Consider the following 23,419-nt stretch of genomic DNA (forward strand, 5'->3'; position numbering starts at 1 on the left):
TGCCTGTAGTCCTGGCTACTCTGGAGGCTGAGGTAGGAGGATCGCTTGAGCCCAGGAGTTCAAGACCAGCCTGGACAACACAGCGAGACCTTATTTCTATTAAATAAAACAACAGCAACAGCAACAACTACACAAACCCTACGTTCTCATGGAGAGTCATTTGCCACTCACTTCGGTGAACCGAACCCTGTTTTTTTCAGGTAACAAATATAACATGTGAAATTGTGTGTGTGAGTGTCGTGGGGGTGGGGGCTTTCTGTTAAAATGTTGTAATTAATTTTGAAGCAGCCAGGCTCCCCAGCTTTTTTTTTTTTTTTTTTTTTTTTGAGACAGAGTCTTGCTCTGTCACCCAGGCTGGAGTGCAGTGGCACGATCTCGGCTCACTACAACCCCTGCCTCCTGGGTTCAAGCGATTCTTCTGCCTCAGCCTCCCAAGTAGCTGGGACTACAGACCTGTGCCACCATTCCTGGCTGATTTTTGTATTTTTAGTAGACACGGGGTTTCACCATGTTGGCCAGGCTGGTCTCGAACTCCCAGCTACTCTACAGGTGTCCATTACAGGAGCCCGTTCTCAGGTGATCCACCCACCTTGGCCTCCCAAAGTGGGAGGCTACCCAGCTTTAACAGCAGGTAAGAATACTCACCTCTGAATATTAGTGTCTGCATTCAATCTCCTCCTTGCCATACGTAATTGATATTCACACTGCCCAATATCCAGTTCTCCCTTCCTTTTTCAGTGTATGGAAGTACCTTCCCAATGACTTTGAGTTAGGCAGGGCTACGTGACTAATTCTGGCCAATAGAATATGAATCATAAGTGATGTGTCATTTCCTTTCTGAGGCCCCTGCAAGATTCTCCAGGCTTCATCTTGCTCATCATAGAGGAGGCCTTGTACTGAAAGCGTGGAGCCACAAGATAGAAGCTGCCTGGATCCCTGAGTCACCACATGTCATCACGTGGAAGGCAGAAGCCCTGGAGAGTGGTATGGACCCAGAGCCTGCTTTGCCTGAACATGAAATAAACTTTTGTGGTGTTTAGCCTATTAAATATATGTGTGTGCGAGTATATATATATATATATATATACTTTTTTTTTTTTTTGAGACAGAGTCTTACTATGTTGCCCGGGCTGGTCTCAAACTTCTGGCCTCAAGTGATCTTCCTGTCTCACTTTCCCAAATAGCTGGGACTACAGGCATCAACCACCATGTTGCCAGGTGTACATAATTGTATTGTTTTCATTTGTTCATTTACAGCAGCATAGCCTGTCCTGAGCAGTACAACATAGCGATGAATATTTCTAGAAGATAATCCAGACTGTTTGGGGAATCGGGCACACCCCTGGCATCTTTCATCCCACCACACTTTTATGCTTCTGTTCTCTTCAAACAAGCTGTTGCTTTAGCTGCTGGAGAAACCACAGAAACACATACTGCCAACTACATCAGCATCATCAGCTCTTATGACCACTGGGACAGGACAAATGATGCTATTTATTTATTTATTTTTTGGAAACAGAGTCTCACTCTGTTGCCCAGGCTTGAGTGCAATGATGATGTGATCTTGGCTCACTGCAACCTCTGCCTCCTGGGTTCAAACAATTCTCCTGCCTCAACTTCCCAAGTAGCTGGGATTACGGATGCCTGCCACCACACCCTGCTAATTTTTTTTTTTCTTTTTTTTTTTGAGACAGAGTTTCACTCTTGTTGCCCAGGCTGAAGTGCAATGGCACGATCTCAGCTCACCGCAATCTCTGCCTCCTGAGTTCAAGCGATTCTCCTGCCTCAGCCTCCCGAGTAGCTGGGATTACAGGCATGCGCCACCACGCCTGGCTAATTTTGCATTTTTAGTAGAGACGGGGTTTCTCCATGTTGGTCAGGCTGCTCTCGAACTCCCGACCTCAGGTGATCCGCCCACCTCGGCCTCCCAAAGTGCAGGGATTACAGGCGTGAGCCACTGTGCCCAGCCTCCGGCTAGTTTTTAAAATATTTTTAGTAGAGACAGGATTTCACTATGTTGGTCAGCCTGCTTTCAAACTCCTAAACTCAAGTGATCTGCCCGCCTAGGCCTCCCAAAGTGCTAGGATTACAGGCGTGAGGCACAGCTCCCGGTCGATGCTATTTTTTATTTTTATTTTTATTTTTTTAGAGGGAGTCTTGCTCTGTTGTCCAGGCTGGAGTGCAGTGGTACAATCTTGGCTCACTGCAACCTCTGCCTCCTGGGTTCAAGCAATTCTCCTGTCTCTGCCTCCCAAGTAGCTGGGATTACAGGAGCCCGCCACTACGCGCGGCTAATTTTTGTATTTTTAGTAGAGACGGCATTTCACCGTGTCGGTCAGTGTGGTCTCGAACTCCTGGCCTCAGGTGATCCGCCCACCTTGGCCTCCTAAAGTGCTGGGATTACAGGCGTAAACCACTGTGCCTGGCCGATGGTATTTTTTTTAAGGAGGAAAGAAAATGTCCTTGTGAAGTGGTTCTGACCTGCGAGGCCAATATTAATGTGCCCTCATTTGGGCAGAGAGGGAGAACACTGCATGTGTCTGCTTTCATACTTCTGCATGTTCCCATTTGTTACGTGAGGTGGGCAGCCTCTAAGAGAGCTCCCAAAGATCCAACGCCTCTTGGAATTCATTCTGTTGTGTAACATCCAGCCCTCGAGTGTGCATTGGATTGACTGACTTATCTCAAATGAATAGGATACAGCAGAAGTGATGGATGTCACCCCTGAGAGTGGATTATGAACAATGGTAGTTTCCACCTCTTGGACACTCTCTTTTGCACTCTCCCTCTGCCCTAAAGAGCCAGCTGCCAGGTTGTGAGCTGCCCTTTGGAGGGCTGATTAACACGGCTATCACCCAGCCTGTTTCCTTGTCACCCCAAGGGGAATTCAAATGGAATCGAATCCCTCCTTCACTTCCCCCTGGCCCTTCCACACATCCCCAGGCAAATGGTTTGATCTGTTTTTTTCCTGTGGCTATAGACTGATTAGTTTGCATTTTCTATAATTTTATGTGAAGGGAATGAATTATAATGCATGTATTCTTTTGTGTCTGGCTTTTTTCACCCAGCATAATTATTTTGAGTTTCATCTCTCTCTCTCTCTCTCTCTCCGTGTATGTATATATATATATATATATATATATATATATATATATTTTTTTTTTTTTTTTTTTTTTTTTTTAGATGGAGTCTCCCTCTGTGCGCCCTATGGCCCAGGCTGCAGTGTAGTGACACAGTCTCAGCTCTCTGTAACTTCTGCCTCTCGGGTTCAAGCGATTCTCCTGCCTCAGCCTCCTGAGTAGCTGGGATTACAGGTGCACACCGCCACACGTGGCTAATTTTTGTATTTTTAGTAGAGACAGGATTTCACCATGTTGGCCAGGCTGGTCTCGAACTCCTAACCTCAGGTGATCCACTCGCCTTGGCCTCCCAAAGTGCTGGGATTACAGGTGTGAGCCACCGCACCCAGCCTCATCTATGTTGTATTGTGTACTCATAGTTTATTCCTTTTGATGGATGAGGAGTAAATTGTCCACTGTGTGAATGTATCACAGCCTGTTTATCTGTTCATCTGGACATTCGGGTCATTTCCAGTTTTTGGTGATTATGCATAGGGCTGACATAAACGTTCAGTTTTAGTAGAGATGGGGTTTCACCATGTTGGCCAGGCTAGTCTTGAACTCCTGACCTCAGATGATCTGCCTGCCTCTGCCTCCCGAAGTGCTAGGATTCCAGGCATGAGCCACCGCACCCGGCCATCTCAAATTATTTTTGAAAGTGATTGTACCATTTTACATTATCACCTGCACCCTATAAGATGGCGAGCAATGCTGGCAGCCACCCACTGGATGCCAGAGATCACATCACGATGACAACCCAACACCCACTCTCTGTTTACAAACGTCAGCTTGAATGGGACAGTGATGCCACAATGGAGAACCACTAGACCAGTGTTCCTTTTGTTTCGACAAACCCCATTTAGGAACCACGGGAGATGTAGGGAAGGAAAGATCTTTCCTCACCCATTGCTAGGTCCATGGCTGAGTCCCCACAATGAAAGACAGATTAACACACGCATTTAATATAAGTTTAATGTGACATGAGAACCTTCAGAAATGAAGATCTAGAAACAGGAAAACCTGCGTGTGTATGTGTGTGTGTGTGTGTGTGTGTGTGTGTGTGTGTTTTGTTTTTTTTTGACAGTCTCGTTTTCTTCCCCAGGCTGGAGTGCAACGGTGCAATCTCCGCTGACTGCAACCTCCGCCTCCCGGGCTCAAGCAATCCTCTCACCTCAGCCTCCCAAGTAGCTGGGACCCCAAGTGTGCGCCATCACGCCTGGCTAATTTTTGTCCTTTTTTTTTTTTCTGAGACAGAATCTCACTCTGTCGCCCAGGCTGGAGTGCAATGGCAAGATCTCGGCTCACTGCAACCTCCATCTCCTGGGTTCAAGCAATTCTTCTGCCTCAGCCTCCCTAGTAGCTAGGATTACATGTGCATGCAACCATGCCTGGCTAATTTTTGTGTTTTTAGTAGAGACAGGATTTTGCCATGTTGTCCAGGGTAGTCTCGAAGTCCTGACCTCAAGTGATCTGCCTGCCTCGGCCTCCCAAAGTGCCAGGATTACAGGCATGAGCCACCATGCCTAGCCAATTTTTGTACTTTTTGTAGAGATGAAGTTTCACCATGTTGGCCAGGCTGGTCTCCAGCTCTTGACTCAAGAGATCTACCCAGCTTGCCTTCCCAAAGTGCTAGGATTATAGCCATTAGCCACCGCACCTGGTCAGAAACCTGTCTATTTTATGCTTAGGTTTGATGAAGAGTGGACAGCCATGGAGAAGGATAACTGGACACCGGGGCTATGACCTAATGGGAATAAACTGGCTGGAAGTTGGCAAGGCCTTTTTGTTTAGGCTTTTCCCTGTGTCTTCAGACACAAGGATGTTTCTTTCCTCCAGGTACAGGGTGTGTACCTCTGACAGGTCTTACGATCTGTTCTAAAGGAAGATCAGAGAATCCTTTTTGTGTTTTATGGCTTTTTTGCTTGAAGGGAGAAGGCAAAGGGAAGATGAGAGGGATCTTCCTGCTTCTGCTGTTTTTTTCAAATGCCAAGGTACCATATTTTGGGGTAGCATGAGCCCCAACAAGGAAAACAGTTCATATTCTCAGCTGAATTCATGATAGCACATTTCACAAGATGGCAACAAGCATGAGATATAGCTATGAGCAGTACATTTTGGCTTAGCTTTGTAGTCTGTGGTTTTCAGTTTCTGAAAAGACCCAAATGTTCTTTATTTAAAGAACCAAGGTTTACATGCCGTGGTGAATCACAACGTGGTGGTTAGAGCCCAGTCAGACGGTCCATTTGCTTTCTATTCTTAACTTTCTCGCTGGCCCCAGAGCCTCTTAGAACCTCCCTGGATAAAAATAAGTGGTGTTTGGTAATCCTGAGCTGAAAGGTGGTACTTAAGTCAAAAGCACACCTGAACACAGCTAATTTGCACTAATCATCTAGATCTGCCATGAATCAGCCAGAGGGGAAAACGTCATTATGATGCAACCACAACCAGGTATTGCAGGACCTAACCAACCTCAAACATGATTTTCATTTCTGAAACCGACTTCTAAGCCCCCTCATGTAGTGGTTATCAAATGGGAGCCTGCATCAGAATCCCCTGGAGGATGTGTTACGAGATTGCCGGGTCCCAACCCTGGAGATTCTGATTCCAGGTAACTGGAGAAGTCCTGAGTATTTTCTTGTTTTTTCTTTTTTCTTTTTTTTTTTTTTTTGAGACAGAGTCTTGGTCTGTCACCCAGGCTGGAGTGCAGTGGCGCGATCTTGGCCCACTGCAACCTCTGCCCTCGGGGTTCAAGTGATTCTCCTGCCTCAGGCTCCGGAGTAGCTGGGATTACAGGCGCCCGCCACCACGCCCTGCTAAATTTTGTATTTTTAGTAGAGACGGTTTCACCATGTTGGCGAGCCTGGTCTTAAACCCCTGACCTCAGATGATCCGCGCGCCTTGGCTTCCCAAAGTACTGGGATTACAGCCATGAGCCACCATATCTGGCCCTGAGTATTTTTATTTCTAACAAGATCTCAGATGGCGCTGAAGCTGCTGGTCCTGGGGCCACATTCTGAGACCCTCATTTCCCATACAAAACAAGGTTTCCTATCAGAACCTTATTTTTGCCAGTTTATTTTTTATTTTTTCGAGACAGAGTCTCGCTGTTGTCACCCAGGCTGGAGTGCAGTGGTGAGATCTTGGCTCACTGCAGCCTCTGCCTCCCGGGTTCCAGCAATTCTCCTGTCTCAGCCTCCTGGGTAGCTGGGATTACAGACACGCGCCACCACGCCCTGCTAATTTTTGTATTTTTAGTAGAGATGGGGATTACAGGCCTGAGCCAATGTGCCCAGCCCAGTTTATTTGTTTATTTTTTAAAGAGATGTGGTCTCACTCTATTGCCCAGGCTGGAGTGCATTGTCGCCATCATAGCTCACTGCAGCTAGAACTCCTGGACTCAAGCGACTCTCCTGCCTCAGCCTGTCAAGTAACTGGGACTACAGGTGTGAGCCACTACGCCTGGCTAATTTTTAAAATTTTCTGTAGAGATGGGGGGTCTCACTGTGTCACTCAGACTGGTCTTGAACTCCTGGTCTCAAGCAATCCTCCTGCCCCAGCCTCCCAAAGTGCTGGGATTACAGGCATGAGTCACCATGCCTGGCCTATTTTTGCCAGTTTAAAGTGGTAAATGAGGCCGGGCATGGTGGCTCACGCCTGTAATCCCAGCACTATGGGTGGCTAAGGTGGGTGGATCATGAGGTCAGGAGTTCGAGACCAGCCTGGCCAACATAGTGAAACCCCGTCTCTACTAAAAATACAAAAATTAGCCAGGTGTGGTGGCACGCACCTGTAGTCCCAGCTACTCAGGAGGCTGAGGCAGGAGAATCGCTTGAACTGGGGAGGCAGAGGTTGCAGTGAGCTGAGACCACACCATTGCACTCCAACCTTGGTGACAGAGTGAGGCTCCATCTCAAAAATAATACTAAGAAGAAGTAATAAAGTGGTAAGTGGGCTGGGTGCCATGGCTCATGTCTGTAATCCTAGCACTTTTGGAGGCCAAGGCAGGCGAAACACTTGAGCCCAGGAGTTTGAGACCAGCCTGGGTGACATAGTGAGACCCCATCTCTACAAAAAAATGCTAAAATCGGCTGGGCGTGGTGGCGAGCGCCCACAGTCCCAGCTACACAGAAGGCTGAGGCTGGAGGATCGCTTGAGCCTGGGAGGCGAAGGTTGCAGTAAGCCGAAATGGCACCACTGCACTCCAGCATGGACAACAGAATGAGACCCTGTCTCAAAACAAAAACAAAAAACAAACAACAGCAACAAAAAAAGTGGTAAATGTCCAATTATAGTAGTGATCTTCAACTGGCGTGATTTTGTCGCCCCAGAAGACATTTTTGGTTGTCATTACTGCAAGAAGCTGCGTGGGGTGGGTATTACCAGCCTCTAGTGGGTAGAAGCCGGGGATGTTGCTAAACAGCTTAAAGCGCTTAGCCCAGCCCTCAACAACAAATAATTATTTTGGTCCAAAATAGCCATAGTGCTGAGGTTGGGCAACTCTGAACTCCAGGGGACTGCTTAAATAAAGTAGAACATTCTTACAAGGAATAACTATTATGTAGTCATTGAGAAGAATGTGCCTTAAAACTTTTTAACATTTCTATTTATTTATCTATTTGTTTGTTTATTTACAGAGGTGGGATCTTGCTATGTTGCCCAGGCTGGTCTTGAATTCCTAGGCTCAAGCGATCCTCTCACCTTGGCCCCCTGAAGTGTTGGGATTACAGAAACAAGCCTCTGCACCCAGCTAAGACATTTTTAGAACTTAGGGAAATGTTTATGACATGATGTGGGGGATAAAACGGTAAGAGGAGTCTATTCAACATATCACCTGTTTTAATTTTCTCCCTACTTTATATCACTACTTACAATGATCTTGTTTGTTTCCACGTTTACTTATGTATCGTCTGTCTTCCTTCACTAGGGTGAAGGTCCTGGTATACTGTAGGGGAAAATGAAATAGTCGGAGAAGTGAAATAGGGGAGAGTGGAATGACAGGGTAAACCTGATGATAATAAAATCAGTGAAGTGCTGGTAAATGTTTAACAACTGACTGTGCAAAGAAAATCCCTGATTTATAGAGTAGCATTTGCCAATTTCTATGGTGTAAATACTCCCACCATGGCTGATTTCAAGCTACCTTGTGATGTCACTGAAGGAGGAGCAGAATAGAGACATGCACAGCTGCCTATCCAAGCCCATGGGAGCTGGTGCTAGCACAACAGTGGAAATACTTCTGTCAATATAAAAGACTGAAAGGTGGCTGGGGCAGTGGCTCAAGCCTGTAATCCCAGCACGTTGGGAGGCCAAGGCAGGCATATCGCCTGAGGTAGGAGTTCGAGATCAGTCTGGCCAACGTGGAGAAACCCTGTCTCTAATAAAATACAAAAATTAGCTGGGTGTCGTGGCACACACCTGTAATCCCAGCTGAGGCAGGAGAATCGCTTGAACCCGGGAGGCGGAGGTTGCAGTGAGCTGAGATCATGCCACTGCACTCCAGCCTGGGTGACACAGCAAAACTTCGTCTCAAAAAATAAAATAATAAAAGACTGGAAGGAAAACTGCTAAAATTCGAATGGAGAGCAGTGGGATTAGATACATAGTGGAAACCACCGCCGGGTGTGGTGGCCCACGACTGTAAACCCAGCACTTCGGGAGACCCAGGTGGGCAGATAGCCTGAGTGTAGGAGTTTGAGAACAACCTGGCAACATAGCAAGACCTCATCTTTACAGAAAATAAGAAATGAACCAGGCATTGTTTGCATTCCTGTGGTCCCAGCTATGCAGGAGGCTGAAGTGGGAAGATCACATGAGCACGGGAGGTCGAGGCTGCAGTGAGCTGAGATCATGCCACTGCACACCAACCTGGGTGAGACCCTCTCTTAAAAAAGAAAGAAACAAAGTGAAAAATAAGAAAGAAAAAAAAGGAAACCATTGAGTTGGGCAAGGTGACTCATGCCTGTAATCCCAGCACTTTGGGAGGCCAAGACAGGAGGATGGCTTGAGGTGGAAGTTTGAGTCCAGCCTGGGTAACATAGGGAGACCCCACATCTACAGAAAATTAAAACAAAAAATTAGCTGGGTATGGTGGCGCAAGTCTGTCATCCTAGGACTCTGGAGGCTAAGGCAGGAGGATTGCTTGACCCCAGGGGTTCAAGGCTGCAGTGAGCTATGATTGCTCCACTGCACTACAGCCTGGGTGACACAGTGAGACCCTGTCTCAAAAATAAACAAATAAATTAAATTAATTAATTAATTAATGCAGACTCCCAGACCTCCAGAACCAAAGTCTGTATTTGAATACGAGAGCCTGTGTTACTGCTATTTTTGTACACCGGTTGTGGTCAGAGAGTGTAGCTCTATCATATAGATGTCTTGGCTCGTCAAGAAGCTGGTCCTCATGTGATACCTGGGTTGGCCCATGAATCTGAGTCTTTTTGTTTTCAGAGCCATGCCACTTTTAGAACACAGTTTCAGGAAAATTGGGGAACTGTTTAGTCATCAGAAGCAAGAGACCTGAGACACAGTCTATAGGTGGCACCTTCCTCCATGGCACTGTCATCGTGCTGAATGAAGCACATCTCCAGCCCAGGGTCTGCCTCCAATCCAGGCTCAGAGAACCACCCACAGAGTGGCCACAAGTCGGGCAAGGCCACAGGCAGTCTTTCTGAAAATGCATTTAATTGCCTGTGATTCAGCCCTCAGATAGCAGAGTCAGGATGAGCGATCACATTCTTATCCTGAGTACTATCTGATAACCGGCAGCAACTTGCAGCTACTGTTCTAGGCTGAGGACCAGCTTCAGAAGGGACACGAGGCTGTAATGGAGAAAAGGTGCATAAACACAGTGGGTAAAAGCAAGATGAAAGTAAAAATGAGGAACAACCGCAGATCTCAAACTACAAAACATCACATGTATTGAGAAATCTGCAAATTGCCAAGAGCTTGTCGGTTAATAGAGTTAAACTACGTAAAATACTTAAAGAGATTTATCTGAGCCAAATATGAGTGACCATGACCCATAACAGCCCTTAGGAGGTCATGAGAACATGTGCCCAAGGTGGTTGGGCTGCAGCTTGGTTTTATATATTTTAGGGAGGAATGAAACATCCATCAAATACATTTAAGGAATACATTGAGTTGTTCCAGAAAGGTGGGACAATTTGAAGTTGGGGGGGGAGGGGCTTTCAGGCTATAGGTAAATTTAAACATTTTCTGGTTGACAACTGGTTGAGTTTTTGTCTAAGGACTTGGTATCAATAGAAAGGAAATGTTCAGCTTAAGATAAAAGATTGTGGGCTGGGCACGGTGGCTCACGCCTGTAATCCCAGCACTTTGGGAGGCTGCGGCAGGCAGATAACCTGAGGTCAAGAGTTTGAGACCAGTCTGGCCAACATGGTGAAACCCCATCTCTACTAAAAATACAAAAATTAGCCAGGCATGGTTGTGTGCGCCTGTACTCCCAGCTACTTGGAAGACTGAGGAGGGAGAATCGCTTGAACCCGGGAGGCGGAGGTTGCAGTGAGCCGAGATCGAGCCACTGCACTCCAGCCTGGGCAACAAAGTAAGACTCCACCTCAAAGGAAAAAATAAAATAAAATAAAATAAAAACAGATCGTGGAGACCAAGGTTCTTTTCAAGTCTCATAGCAGCTGCCCTTAGAAACAATAGATGACACACGTTTCCTTTTCAGAAACTTTAAAAGGTGCTAGACTCTCACTTACTCTATTCAGAATTGGAGGGGCCTGGAAGGAAAACGTCTAGCTATGTTAATAGGGATTCTTTACAGATGTGAATTTTCCCTCAACAAAGGACTGGTTGCAGGGCCATTTCAAAATGTTACAAAGAAACATGTTTTGGGGGTAAAATATTTTGATTTTCTTCCTTGCATCCTCATGTTATGCCAGAGTCAGGCTGAAAAGTAAGTCAAGACATATATAGGGTTAAATAAAACCCATCTGATGAGAATTTACGGTTTGTAGGGCATGACTCCCCAGACCCCTTAGATAGGAATTTGGGCAAGATAAAAAAAAAATCAGAATTTAGTTCTCAAGCTTTACATATTATAAGGATGAATAAATTGTGTTTAGTTCGTACAGAGACATGACCACAGTTGCTTATATAAACTAGAGGTTTATTTTTCTCTACTTAAAAAAGTCTGGAATTAGGTAGTCCAGGGATGTTGACAAATTCATCACGCACTTCCTCCTTTCTTCTCCACCATTCTTAGCACATGGCTTCCTTTCTTAAGGTTACTTCATGGTCAAAGATGGCTGCTGCAGCCCTCAACGTTTTGCTTGTGTTCCCGGCAGCGGGAAGAAGGAAGTAGCAAGAGCCAGAGGCAAGCTAAGTCATTTCCCTTTAAATAGCTTTCCTGGAAACCCCACCCAATGACTTCCTCTTATTATTTCATCATCCTCCCTTAGCTGCAAGGGAGGCTGGGAAGTGTAGTCCTTAAGATGGGCACATTGCTCACTTGAATAAAATTCAGACTCTGCTAGCAAAGAATAATGGGGGAATGGATATTAGGAAGGGAGCTAGTGGACTCCATTATGCATACATTATCCCATTACATGCTCACTGTTGAGACACCCTTAGGAAAATCTAGTATTTCCTCCATTAGGAAAATCTACTATTCTCCATTAGGTTAAAAATTTAAAGAAAAAAACTAAATTAAAAAAAATTTTTAACATTTTTTTTATAGAGGCGGGGGTCTCACCATGTTGCCCAGGCTGGTCTTTAACTCTTGGGCTCAAGTGATCCTCCCACCTTGGCCTCCCAAAGCAGTGGGATTATAGGCATGAGCCATCACGTCTGGCCTACTTAGCACTTCCGGGTAAAAGTTTTTCTGTTTCATAGAGAAGAGACTGGCAGTATTTGCTATTGCTTTTTTAAGACAGGTAGAATTTGCTTGCCCAAGGTAAGGTGCATTTCATAACAAGGGGAGGAGAACATATAAGCCTTTTGATTTCTGTTAAAAAAAAGCTCTTTATTTAAAATTTAATTTTGTTTGCTATCTGCGCTTTTATTCAAAAGAAGAGTTTAGGGCCCGGCATGGTGGCTCACACCTGTAATCCCAGCACTTTGGGAGGCCAAGGTCGGAGGATTGCTTGAACCTAGGAGTTGGAGACCAGGCTTGGGCAACACAGTGCAGCACCACCTCTATAAAATAAAAAAACGTCGGGCCAGGCACAGTGGCTCATGCCTGTAATCCCAGGGCAGAGTACCTGAGGTCAGGAGCTCGAGACCAGCCTAGCCAACATGGCGAAAACCCATCTCTATTAAAAGTACAAAAAAATTAGCCGGCCATGGTGGTGTGTGCCTGCAATCCCAGCCACTCGGGAGGCTGAGGCAGGAGAATCGCTTGAACCCGGGAGGCGGAGGTTGCAGTGAGCTGAGATCGTGCCACTGCACTCCAGCCTGAGCAACACAGCGGGACTCTGTCTCAAAAAAATTAAATAAATAAATAAATAAATAAATAAAACATTAAAAAGTCATAAAAATAAATAAAACAAGACTTTAGAAAGAAACAAGTACGATCAGAAGAACAAATGAAGTGAGTTGTGACTGGATTCAATTATGAGCTTGCCATTTCTGCCCTAGGGGAGATATTCAAAAAGGGGCCCTAGGATGGGCTCGGTAGCTCATGCCTGTAATCCCAGCACTTTGGGAGGCCGAGGCGGGCAGATCACCTGAGGTCAGGAGTTGGAGACCAGCCTGACCAACATGGAGAAACCCCGTCTCTACTAAAAATCTCCCGGCTCATTGCAACTTCCGCCTCCCGGGTTCAAGCAAACCTCCTGCGAAAGCCAACCGAGTAGCTGGGATTACAGGCATGCGCCACCATGCCTGGCTAATTTTGTATTTTTAGTAGAGACGGGGTTTTACCATGTTGGTCAGGCTGGTCTCGAACTCCTGACCTCAGGTAATCCACCTGCCTTGGCCTCTCAAAGTGCTGGGATTACAGGTGTGAGCCACCATGCCTAGCCAGGTTACCCAATTCTATGACATTCCTACCTTCAAAAGGTAGATCCTGGCCCGGGTGCAGTGGCTTAAGGCTGTAATCCCAGCACTTTGGAAGGCCGAGGATGGTGGATCACTGGAAGTTTAGGAGTTCGAGACCAACCTGGCCAACATGGAGAAACCCCATCTCTACTAAAAATACAAATATTAGCTGGGCATGGTGATGGGTGCCTATAATCCCAGTTAGGAGGCTAAGGCAGGGAGAATTGCTTGAACCTGGGAGGCAGAGGTTGCAGTGAGCCAGGATTGTGCCACTGCACTCCAGCCTGGGCGACAGAGTGAGGCTCCGTCTCAAAAAGAAAAAAAAAAGAAAAGATATTTGATCCTCAATGTGGCAGTGTTGGGAGGTGGAGCCAAATAAGAGATGTTGGGTTATTGAGTCAGATCCCTCATGAATGGCTTGGTGCTGTTTCTGCAGTAGTGAGAACTGAATTGATTTCCGTGGGACTGGATTAGTCCCTCTGAGAGTGGTTTGTTATAAAGCCAGGAAGCCTCTTAGGTTTTCCTCTCTTCACATATGTCCACTTCCCTTTTGACTTTCTCTGCCATGTTGTGACACAGCACAGAAGCCCTCCCCAGAGGTCAGGGCCATGCCCTTGGCCTTCTCAGCTTGTAGGACCATGAGCTAAATAACTGTTTTTCTTTACACATTGCCAAGTCTGAGGTATTTTTTTATAGCAATACAAAATGGACTAAGACAATTACTAAATATTATCTGAGAGGAAATAAATGGAGATACTTCCTGGCTGGTTTCTGTCTCTGAGTTTCTTGAAGTTTCTCATTTGTAATTAAAATAATCAAGGGCCAGGCGCGGTGGCTCCCGCCTGTAATCCCAGCACTTTGGGAGGCCAAGGAGGGCGGGTAACTTGAGGTCGGGAGTTTGAGACCGGCCTGGCCAACATGGTGAAACACTGTCTCTACTAAAAATACAAAAAAAATGTAGCCAGGCATGGTGGCGCATGCTTGTAATCCCAGCTACTTGGGAGGCTGAGGCGACAGGACTGCTTAACCCAGGAGGCGAAGGTTTCAGTGAGCCAAGATTGCTGCTACTGTACTCCAGCCTGGGTGACAGAGCAAGACTCTGTCTCATAAACAAAACAAAACAAAACAAATAATATAAAATAAAATAAAATAATCAAAAGCATGGTCTAGGCTAGAGAAAAAAAGTCAGACTTGATTCGGGCACGTCTGAAACCAGCCTTAACAACCCCATGATGTGTTTATCACATGGGTACTGCACTTGGTAGGCAGCCAACAAACCAGAGGTCTTTCAGAAATACAACCCCAGAGCCTCATACCTGGAGATGATTCTGTTCCAGAGCTCTGAATAGGGCCCAGAGACCCCAATTTTTTTTTTTTTTTTTGAGACAGAGTCTCACTTTGTCGTCCAGGCAGGAGTGCAGTGGCGTGACCTCGGCTCACCGCAACCTCTGTCTCCCGGGTTCAAGTGATTCTCCTGCCTCAGCCTCCCAAGTAGCTGGGACTATAGGTGTGCATCACCATGCCCGGCTAATTTTTGTATTTTTTAGTAGAGCCGGGGTTTCACCATGTTGGCCAGGCTGGTCTTGAACTCCTGACCTCAGGTGATCCACTTGCCTCGGCCTCCCAAAATGTTGGGATTACAGGCGTGAGCCACCGTGCCCGGCCCAGCTGTGGGGTTTTGCATGAGTTATCTACCCCCTCTAAGCCTCAGTCTCCTCACCTACAAATGGTGACAATTGACAGTAACTGTGCCACTAGGCAGGTGTGAAGAAAAATGAGATAATGCGTATGGATCATGGTTTCTCACCCTCAGCACTGGTGATGCATTGGACCAGATAATTCTTTGTTGTGGAGGGCTGTTACGCACATTGTTGAATGTTTAGCAGCCTTCCTGGCTTCTACCCACTAGATGTGGCAGCAACCCCCAACCCCCAAGTTATGGCAATCAAAATGTCTCCAGACATTCTTTTTTTTTTTGAGACGGAGTTTCACTCTTGTTGCTCAGGCTGGAGTGCAATGGCGCAATATCGGCTCACCACAACCTCCACCTCCCAGGTTCAAGCAATTCCCCTGCCTCAGCCTCCTAAGTAGCTGGGATTACAGGCGTGTGCCACCATGCCGGGCTAATTTTGGATTTTTAGTAGAGATGGGGTTTCTCCATGTTGGTCAGGCTGGTCTCGAACTCCTGACCTCAGGTGATCCATCCGCCTCGGCCTCCCAAAGTGCTGGGATTACAGGCGTGAACCACCATACCTGGCCCTCCAGACATTCTTTACCAAATGCCCCCTGAGGGAGCAAAGTTGCACTCAGTTGAAAACCCCTGATATAGATGACCTAATTCTGTGCAAGGTGCTTAGTTAGTATTCAATAAACGATAATCGTGTTCATTTTTCCTCTCTTTGGATTGCAATAATATAATATTTCGAAAATACTTTCCTAGACATTCTTTTTTAAAAAAAGTTACTTGCATTTAAAAAAAAAATTAACTTGGCTCGGCGTGGTGGCTCACGCCTGTAATCCCAGCAGTTTGGGAGGCCGAGGCGGGTGGATCAAGAGGTCAAGAGACGGAGACCATCCTGGCCAACATGGTGAAACACCGTCTCTACTAAAAATACAAAAATTAGCTGGGCTTGGTGGCGAGCACCTGTAGTCCCAGCTATTCGGGAAGCTGAGGCAGGAGAATCGCTTTAACTAGGGAGGTGGAGGTTGCAGTGAGCCAAGATCGTGCCACTGCACTCCAGCCCTGGTGACAGAGCGAGACTCTGTCTCAAAAAAAAAAATTTTTTTAACTTTTTTTTTTTTTTTTTTGAGACAGAGTCTCACTCTGCCACTGAGCCTGGAGTGCAGCAGTGGTGTGATCTCCACTCACCGCAATCTCTGCTTGCTGGGCTCAAGTGATTCTCATGCCTCAGCCTCCTGAGTAGCTGGGACTACAAGTGTGTGCCACCACGCTTGGCTCATTTTTGTGTTTTTAGTAGAGATGGGGTTTCACCACGTTTGTCAGGCTGGTCTTGAACTCCTGGCCTCAAGTCGTCCATCCTCCTCAGTCTCCCAAAGTGCTGGAATTACAGGTGTGAGGCACTGCACCCGGCTCATACATTTTTTGAAATGTATGTGGAATAGTTAATTTCATGTTATGTGCATTTTACCTCAATTTAAAAAACTGTGATGATAAGCAGCATAAGACAAAATAGATAAATTGTACTGCATGAAAATTGAAAACATTTTGTGCTTCGAAGGACAGCATCAATACAGTGAAAACGCAATTCGCAGAATGGGAGAATGTATTTGCAAATCATTTATCTGATAAGAGACTATTATGTAGAATACATAAAAACTCTGACAACTCTATAACAAAAAGACAACCCAATTAAAAATGAGTGAAATACATGAATAGACATTTCGTTGTTTTTTTTTTTTTTTTTTTTTGAGACAGAGTCTTGCACTGTCGCCCAGGCTGGAGTGTAGTGGCACAATCTTGGCTCACTGCAACCTCTATCTCCTGGGTTCAAGTGATTCTCTTGCCTCAGCCTCCTTAGTAGCTGCGATGACAGGCACGTGCCACGACCCCCAGCTATTTTTTGTATTTTTTAGTAGAGATGGGGTTTCAACATGTTGGCCAGGCTGGTCTCAAACTCCTGACCTCAAGTGGTCCTCTCACCTCGGCCTCCCAAATTGCTGGGATTACAGGCATGAGCCACCATGCCCCGCCTGAATAGACATTTCTTCAAAGAAGATAAACAAATGCCACAGCACATGAAGAAATGATCAACATCATTAGGCAACAGGGAATTGCAAATTAAAACCACAGTGAGATACTACATCCCACTCACTAGGATAGCTATAATAAAAAGGACAGGCGCTGGTTGTGGTGGCGTGTGTCTGTAGTCCCAGCTACTCAGGAGGCTGAGGCAGGAGGAAGGGCTGTGCCTAAGGATGGGGGTTCCCAGGTCAGAAACAAAGCGGTCATAACTCCCATGCTGATCAGTAGTGGGATCGCTCTGTGAATAGCCACTGCACTCCAGCCTTCGAAATAGAGGAATACCTTGTCTCCAAAAACAAAACAAAACAAGACAAAACAAAAAAGATGCTGGGCACGGTGGCTTATGCCTGTAATCCCAGCACTTCGGGAGAGCGAGGCAGGCGGATCACCTGAGGTCCAGAGTTTGAGACCAGCTTGGCCAACGTGGTGAAACCCCATGTCTACTGAAAAAATAAAAAAATTAGCCAGGCATGGTGGCGTGTGTCTGTAATCCCAGCTACTCGGGAGCCTCAGGCAGGAGAATTGCTTGAATCAGGGAGGCAGAGGTTGCAGTGAGCTGAGATCTGGCCACTGCACTCCAGCCTGGGCGACAGAGCGAGACTCCATCTCAAAAAAAAAAAAAAAGGACACAATAACAAGCGTTGGCGAGGATGTGGAGAAATTGGAACCCTTGTGCACTGCTAGTGGAAACGTAAAATAGTGCAGCTATTTTGCATAACAGGTTGGCAGTTTTTCAATGAGTTAAATATAGTTACACTGTGACCCAGCAATTCCGCTTCTAGGTGTAGAGCCAGGAGAAATGGAAACATATGTCCACGCGAAACTTGTATGTGAATATGCATAACCACATTATTCATAATAGTCAAAAATTGGAAGTAATCTAAGTGCTCATCAACTGATGATTAGATAAACAAATTGGGGTATGTGTATGTATATATGCAATGAAATATGAAATATTTGTAATACTCTTTGGCCATAAAAAGAATAAAGTACTGATACATGTTATGTCAAGGAAGAACCTTGGAAAAACTATGTTAGGTGAAAGAAGCCAGACACAAAAGGCTAAATATTTTATAACCTAATTTATATTAAATGTCCAGTATAGGCAAATCCAAACAGAGAGAAAGTAATTAGCGCTTGTCAAGGGCTCAGGGGAGGGTAATGGGGAGTGACTGGTAATGATGAGGGGGTGGGGGTTCTTTTTTTTTTTTTTTTTTTGAGATGGAGTCTCGCTCTGTCTCCCAGGCTGGAGTGCAGTGGCGCGATCTTGGCTCACTGCAAGCTCTGTCTCCGGGGTTCACGCCATTCTCTTGGCTCAGCCACCCGAGTAGCTGGGACTAGAGGCGCCCACCATGATACCCGGCTAATTTTTTGTATTTTTTAGCAGAGACGGGGATTCACCATGTTAGCCAGGATGGTCTCGATCTCCTGACCTCGTGATCCACTCTCCTCGGCCTCCCAAAGTGCTGGGATTACAGGCCTGAGCCACCGCGCCTGGCCTAGTGAGGGGGTTCTTTTAAGGGTGATGAAAGTGTTCTGTAATTAGATAGTGGTAATAATTGCATAACTGTGAATATACTAAAAACCACTGAATCATATACTTTAATGTGCGAACTGTAGGCTGTGTGAATTACATATCAATAAATGTATGTGAAAAGAATCTGTTTCAAAGTAAGGACATTCAAATTCCCATGGTTCCTTCATTGTTACAGTCTTTATTTTATTCTATTTTGAAACAGTTTAGCTCTGTTGCCAGGCTGGAGTTCGTGGTGTGATATCAGCTCACTGCAACCTCTGCCTCCCGGTTCAAGCGATTCTCCTGTCTCAGCCTCCTAAGTAGCTGGGACTACAGGCGTGTGCCACCATGCCCAGCTAATTTTTGTATTTTTAGTAAGAGATGGGGTTTCACCATGTTGGCCACGATGGACTCGATCTCTTGACCTCGCAATCCGCCCATCTTAGCCTCCCAAAGTGCTGGGATTACAGGCGTGAGCCACTGTGCCTTGCCATAGTCTTTATTTTTATTTATTTATTTGAGATGGGGTCTTGCTATGTTGCCCAGGCTGGCTTTGAATTCCTGGGCTCAAGTGATTCTCCTGCCTCAGCCTCTCAAGTAGCTGGGAGTACAGGTGAGCACCACTGTGCCCGGCTAATTTTTTATTCTCGTGTAGCCACTGGGTCTCCCTATATTTCCCAGGCTGGTCTCAAACTTCTGTATGCAAGTGATCCTCCTGCCTCAGCCTCCCAAAGTGCGGAAATTACAGGCCTGAGCAACCGCTCCTGGTCTATTTTTATTTTATTTTATTTTATTTTGAGACGGAATCTCGCTTTGTCGCCCAGGCTGGAGTGCAGTGGCACTATCTTGGCTCACTGCAAGCTCCGCCTCCTGGGTTCATGCCATTCTCCTGCCTCAGCCTCCCGAGTAGCTGGGACTACAGGCGCCCGCTGTCACGCCCTGTCAATTTTTTGTGTTTTTGGTAGAGACTAAGTTTCACCGTGTTAGCCAGGATGGTCTTGATCTCCTGACCTCGTGATCCGCCCGCCTCGGCCTCCCAAAGTGCTGGGATTACAGGCGTGAGCCACCGCGCCTGGCGAGAGTATTTTTAACTTTTTAATGTAAGTGTGCACTACTCTTATAATTTGACAACTGCTAAAAAAGACAGCATATATAAAAGGAATGTAGCACATTTTCATGGCTATTACAATTATATAAACATCTGCTGTTTGAAATGTGAATAATTCTAATATCATTAAGGGCAGATAGATCGCTTGATTCAGAATCTCATGAGCTTTCATCTTTTTTTTTTTTTTGAGACGAAGTCCCACTCTGTCGCCCAGGCTGGAGTTCAGTGACATGATCTTGGCTCACTGCAACCTCCGCCTCCTCGGTTCAAGCAATTCTCCTGCTTCAGCCTCCCAAGTAGCTGGGATTACAGACATGCACCACCACACCCAGCTAATTTTTGTATTTTTAGTAGATACGGAGTTTCACCATGTTGGCCAGGCTGGTCTCCAATGCCTGGCCTCAGGTGATTCACCTGCCTTAGCCTCCCAAAATGCTGGGATTACAGGTGGGAGCCACCGAGCCCGGCCTTTTTTTTTTTTTTTTTTCAAATGAGACAGATTCTTGCTCTGTTGCCCAGGCTGGAGTACAGTGGCGCGATCTCGGCTCACTGCAACCTGTGCCTCCCGGGTTCAAGCGATTCTCCTGCCTCAGCCTCCTGAGTAGCTGGGATTACAGACATGCACCACCACACCCCACTATTTTTTTATTAGTAGAGATGGGGTTTCTCCATGTTGGCCAGGCTGGTCTCGAATTCCTGACCTCAGGTGATCTGCCTGCCTTGGCCTCCCAAAAGTGCTGGGATTACAGGCATGAGTCACCGCTCCCGGCTTATGAGGTTTCATCTTTAAACTGAAGAGTAGGTGGCATTGGAGAGAATCTCCACATTGACAAGGTCTTCTATTTGCTGACTGCTGGTCATAATACGTATCGTGCATTGTTATTTGACATTCCTCCATTCCAAGTGGCATTGATTATAAGGTACACATGAATAAGAAGATAATAAGCATTTGTATAATAGCTCAAGTGCTCTAAGACTATCAATTCAGAATTCAGAAACTTTTCGAGGTGGGTTGGGTGCAGTAGTTCACACCTATAATTCCAGCACTTTGGGAGGCTGAGGCAGGAGGATTGCTTGAGTCCAGGAGTTGGAAACCAGCCTGGGCAACACTGCAAAACCCCATCTTTACAAAAAATACATTTAGCCAGGCATGGTAGCATGTGCCTGTAGTCCCAGCTACCTGGGAGGCTGAGGTGGGAGAACTGCTTAAGCCCAAGAATTGGAGACCAATCTGGGCAACATTGCAAAACTATCTCTACAAAAAACACAAAAAATTATCTGGGCATGCTGGTGCACACCTCTGATCCCAGCTACTAGGAAGGCTGAGGCAGGAGAATGGCTTGTACCCAGGAGGCAGAAGTTGCAGTGAGCTGAGATCACGCCACTGCACTCCAGCCTGGGCGACAGAGCGAGATTTCGTCTCGAAACAACAACAAAAAAGAAACTCTTAGAGGTTAACACAAAGCTCAGGGTCATGGAAATCAAGCAGATAGGTGGTGCTTTTCAATATTTATTCCTTTTTCTTTAGACTGTTTTTTCCAACTGACAAATATTTATTATAGAGCCAGCGTTTATGCTATTCAATATCATTCCATCTTGTATGTATGGCTGAAATATTATGTTCTTACAAGAAAAGGCCAGAGGCTTCTGGAACAGGGTCTGAGTTACATGAAGGAGAAGAAGAGCAGCCTTCATTCTGTAAAAACTCGAAACCTTTGGACTGTCCAAAGTGGTGTGTGGCTTTTGAAGCGGAGCCTGCAGGCAGCGAAATCGTCCAGCTGTGTTCTCTCCTTTGTCATACCTACATGTGCAGGCCTGGACTTCCCACGTGCTACCATGAATGCAGAAATGTAGAAATTGACATATCAACAACCATTGATCGTACACTCAGCAGGCAGTTTTATTGATTGATTGATTGATTGAGATGGGGTCTCTGTCACCCAGGCTGGAGTGTAGTGGCACTATCTCGGCTCACTGCAACCTATGCCTTCTGGGCTCAAGCAATCCTCCCGCCTCAGCCTCCTGAGTAGCTGGAACTACACGTGTGTGCCGCCATGCCTGGCTGTGTTTTGTATTTTTTTGTAGAGACTGGGTTTCACTATGTCGCCTAGGCTGGTCTTGAACTCTTGAGTTCAAGCAATCCTTGCGTCTTGGCCTCCTAAATTGTTGAGATTATAGGTGTAAGCTACCATGCCTACCCTCCTAAAATATTTAACTCATATACCTTGTGACTCTAAAATACTATTTCTGAGGATATATATTCAATACACATATGTATATATGCAAGGATGTTCACTGTATTACATATGTACAAGATGTTCATTATGGCATTGTTTATAATAGCCAAAGACTGGTCACAATCTAAATTTGTATCAATAGGGGCCCTGTAAAATACTTTGTAGTGAATCCATACAATGAAATTATTTGCAATATTTTAAAAGAATAAATAAGTCTTTAGGTCCCAATGTGGAGACATCCAAATTATGTTAAGGAAAAAAGGCTTGTAGGATAGTACACATAAAATCATCTTTTTTTTTCCTTAAGAAGGGACATACTTGTATATAGGTACACACACACATACACACTCGACGTACACATAACTCCGTTTTCAAAGGTCACAAGTTATTTCCTGGGAATAGGATTGGGAGGATGTAGAATGAGGTAGGTAGAATGATTTTTGTTTGCTTTTCACTTTATATTCTTCCCTACAATTGGAAACCTGTTTTTTAGCCACCGCGCCAGGCCTAATTTAGCATTTTAGATAGTGATTGATGTTATGAAATAATATAACCAGGCAATACGAGACAGTGTGAAGGGTGCTACTTTAGGCTTGTCCTAGTAGGCTTCCTAAACAGGAGCTATCTGAGGAAAGAGGAGGAGGAAGAGCTTCCAGAGATAGCAGACTGGGGCAGGAAAGAGCCTAGTGTCCCAGGGAAATAAGGCAGGCCAGTGTGTGAGCGTCCAGGCGAGGTGGGGAAGAGGGGGAGTGCGCAAGGTACAAGCCAAGTAGGGGATTGTGTGAGAGGCGCCAGGGCCAGATCCTGCAGGGGTTTGCAGGCCGCGGTGAGGGGGTCAGATTTTCTTCCAAAGCCGCCTTGCTCTGTGCAAGCGCACTATCGCAGGCTGCGGGCGACGCTGCCTCTGGCCGGCGCCCTCCGCCGCTCCAGGCCGGATGGTGCCTCCCGTGGGCATGTAGGTGGGGATGGTGGGTTTTGCCTCTGTGCGGTCACCGCCTGTCTGCGTTGCTGCCTTCTCCGGGGCCTCAGACCCTGGAGAAAGCCCCGACAGGGGAGGGGGGCGCGCAGCCGCAGGGGCGTCCAGCTATCGCGCACTGCGGGGGGAGTAGGGGCGGGCGCAGCGCTCGGCACCGCCACGCGGGTTCGGGCCGGGGAAGGCAGGGGCCGGTACGTGACGCGGGGCATGCACGTGGCCTGGGAGTGTGCTTTTCGGGACAGGTGCGGGGGCCGCCGCGCGCGCAAAGGCGCAGACGCACGCGTGCGGGCACCGGGCACCGTCGGCCGTCGGGTTATCCTTGGCTCCGCGGGCGGCCGCCGAGGTCCTGTCCACCCGGAAGGCGCGACGTCCTCGGGGGACGCCAGGGCGCAGGGGCAACTGAGCCGACTTCGCAACTCGGAAGTTTTTCTTTGGCTGTGATGGTCGATTTGCCCGTCTAAGAAATGGGACTCTGGGCCGGGCGCGGTGGCTCAAGCCTGTAATCCCAGCGCCCTGGGAGGCTGGAAGATCGCCTGAGGCCAGCAGTCTAGACCTCGACAACGTAGCAAGACCCCGTCTCAAAAAAAAAAAAAAAAAAGGGGGAGTACTCAAAAGAATAGGAAAGCGCTTTGCAAACTTGGACACGAGTTGGGCGTTTTATTCACTTTCTCTACTACCCTCCTCCCTTTGGGAGC

At 46.5% G+C, this 23,419-nt stretch overlaps 7 annotated features.

Annotated features, from left to right (window-relative positions):
- Positions 1-1,200: an enhancer, noted in NCBI's record as "P300/CBP strongly-dependent group 1 enhancer chr16:9161527-9162726 (GRCh37/hg19 assembly coordinates)". NCBI's record gives its function as "activates an origin of replication core promoter dependent on BRD2, BRD4, P300/CBP, MED14 and CDK7 cofactors, with strong dependence on P300/CBP, by STARR-seq in HCT116 cells {active_cell/tissue: HCT116}" and the evidence as "EXISTENCE:reporter gene assay evidence [ECO:0000049][PMID:35650434]".
- Positions 5,174-5,233: an enhancer, noted in NCBI's record as "active region_10370". NCBI's record gives its function as "activates an Ori minimal core promoter by ATAC-STARR-seq in GM12878 lymphoblastoid cells {active_cell/tissue: GM12878}" and the evidence as "EXISTENCE:reporter gene assay evidence [ECO:0000049][PMID:35858748]".
- Positions 5,254-5,303: an enhancer, noted in NCBI's record as "active region_10371". NCBI's record gives its function as "activates an Ori minimal core promoter by ATAC-STARR-seq in GM12878 lymphoblastoid cells {active_cell/tissue: GM12878}" and the evidence as "EXISTENCE:reporter gene assay evidence [ECO:0000049][PMID:35858748]".
- Positions 9,490-9,579: an enhancer, noted in NCBI's record as "active region_10372". NCBI's record gives its function as "activates an Ori minimal core promoter by ATAC-STARR-seq in GM12878 lymphoblastoid cells {active_cell/tissue: GM12878}" and the evidence as "EXISTENCE:reporter gene assay evidence [ECO:0000049][PMID:35858748]".
- Positions 22,140-23,005: an enhancer, noted in NCBI's record as "H3K27ac-H3K4me1 hESC enhancer chr16:9183666-9184531 (GRCh37/hg19 assembly coordinates)". NCBI's record gives its function as "activates a minimal SCP1, AML or CMV promoter by ChIP-STARR-seq in primed H9 embryonic stem cells {active_cell/tissue: H9 hESC(primed)}" and the evidence as "EXISTENCE:reporter gene assay evidence [ECO:0000049][PMID:30033119]".
- Positions 22,140-23,046: a biological region, named in NCBI's record as "H3K27ac-H3K4me1 hESC enhancer GRCh37_chr16:9183666-9184531".
- Positions 22,916-23,046: a silencer, noted in NCBI's record as "fragment chr16:9184442-9184572 (GRCh37/hg19 assembly coordinates)". NCBI's record gives its function as "represses an EF-1alpha promoter that drives an FKBP-Casp9 reporter gene in an ReSE screen in K562 erythroleukemia cells {active_cell/tissue: K562}" and the evidence as "EXISTENCE:reporter gene assay evidence [ECO:0000049][PMID:32094911]".

The sequence above is a fragment of the Homo sapiens genome, chromosome 16 (assembly GCF_000001405.40).
Source record: "Homo sapiens chromosome 16, GRCh38.p14 Primary Assembly".
Classification (NCBI taxonomy): domain Eukaryota; kingdom Metazoa; phylum Chordata; class Mammalia; order Primates; family Hominidae; genus Homo; species Homo sapiens.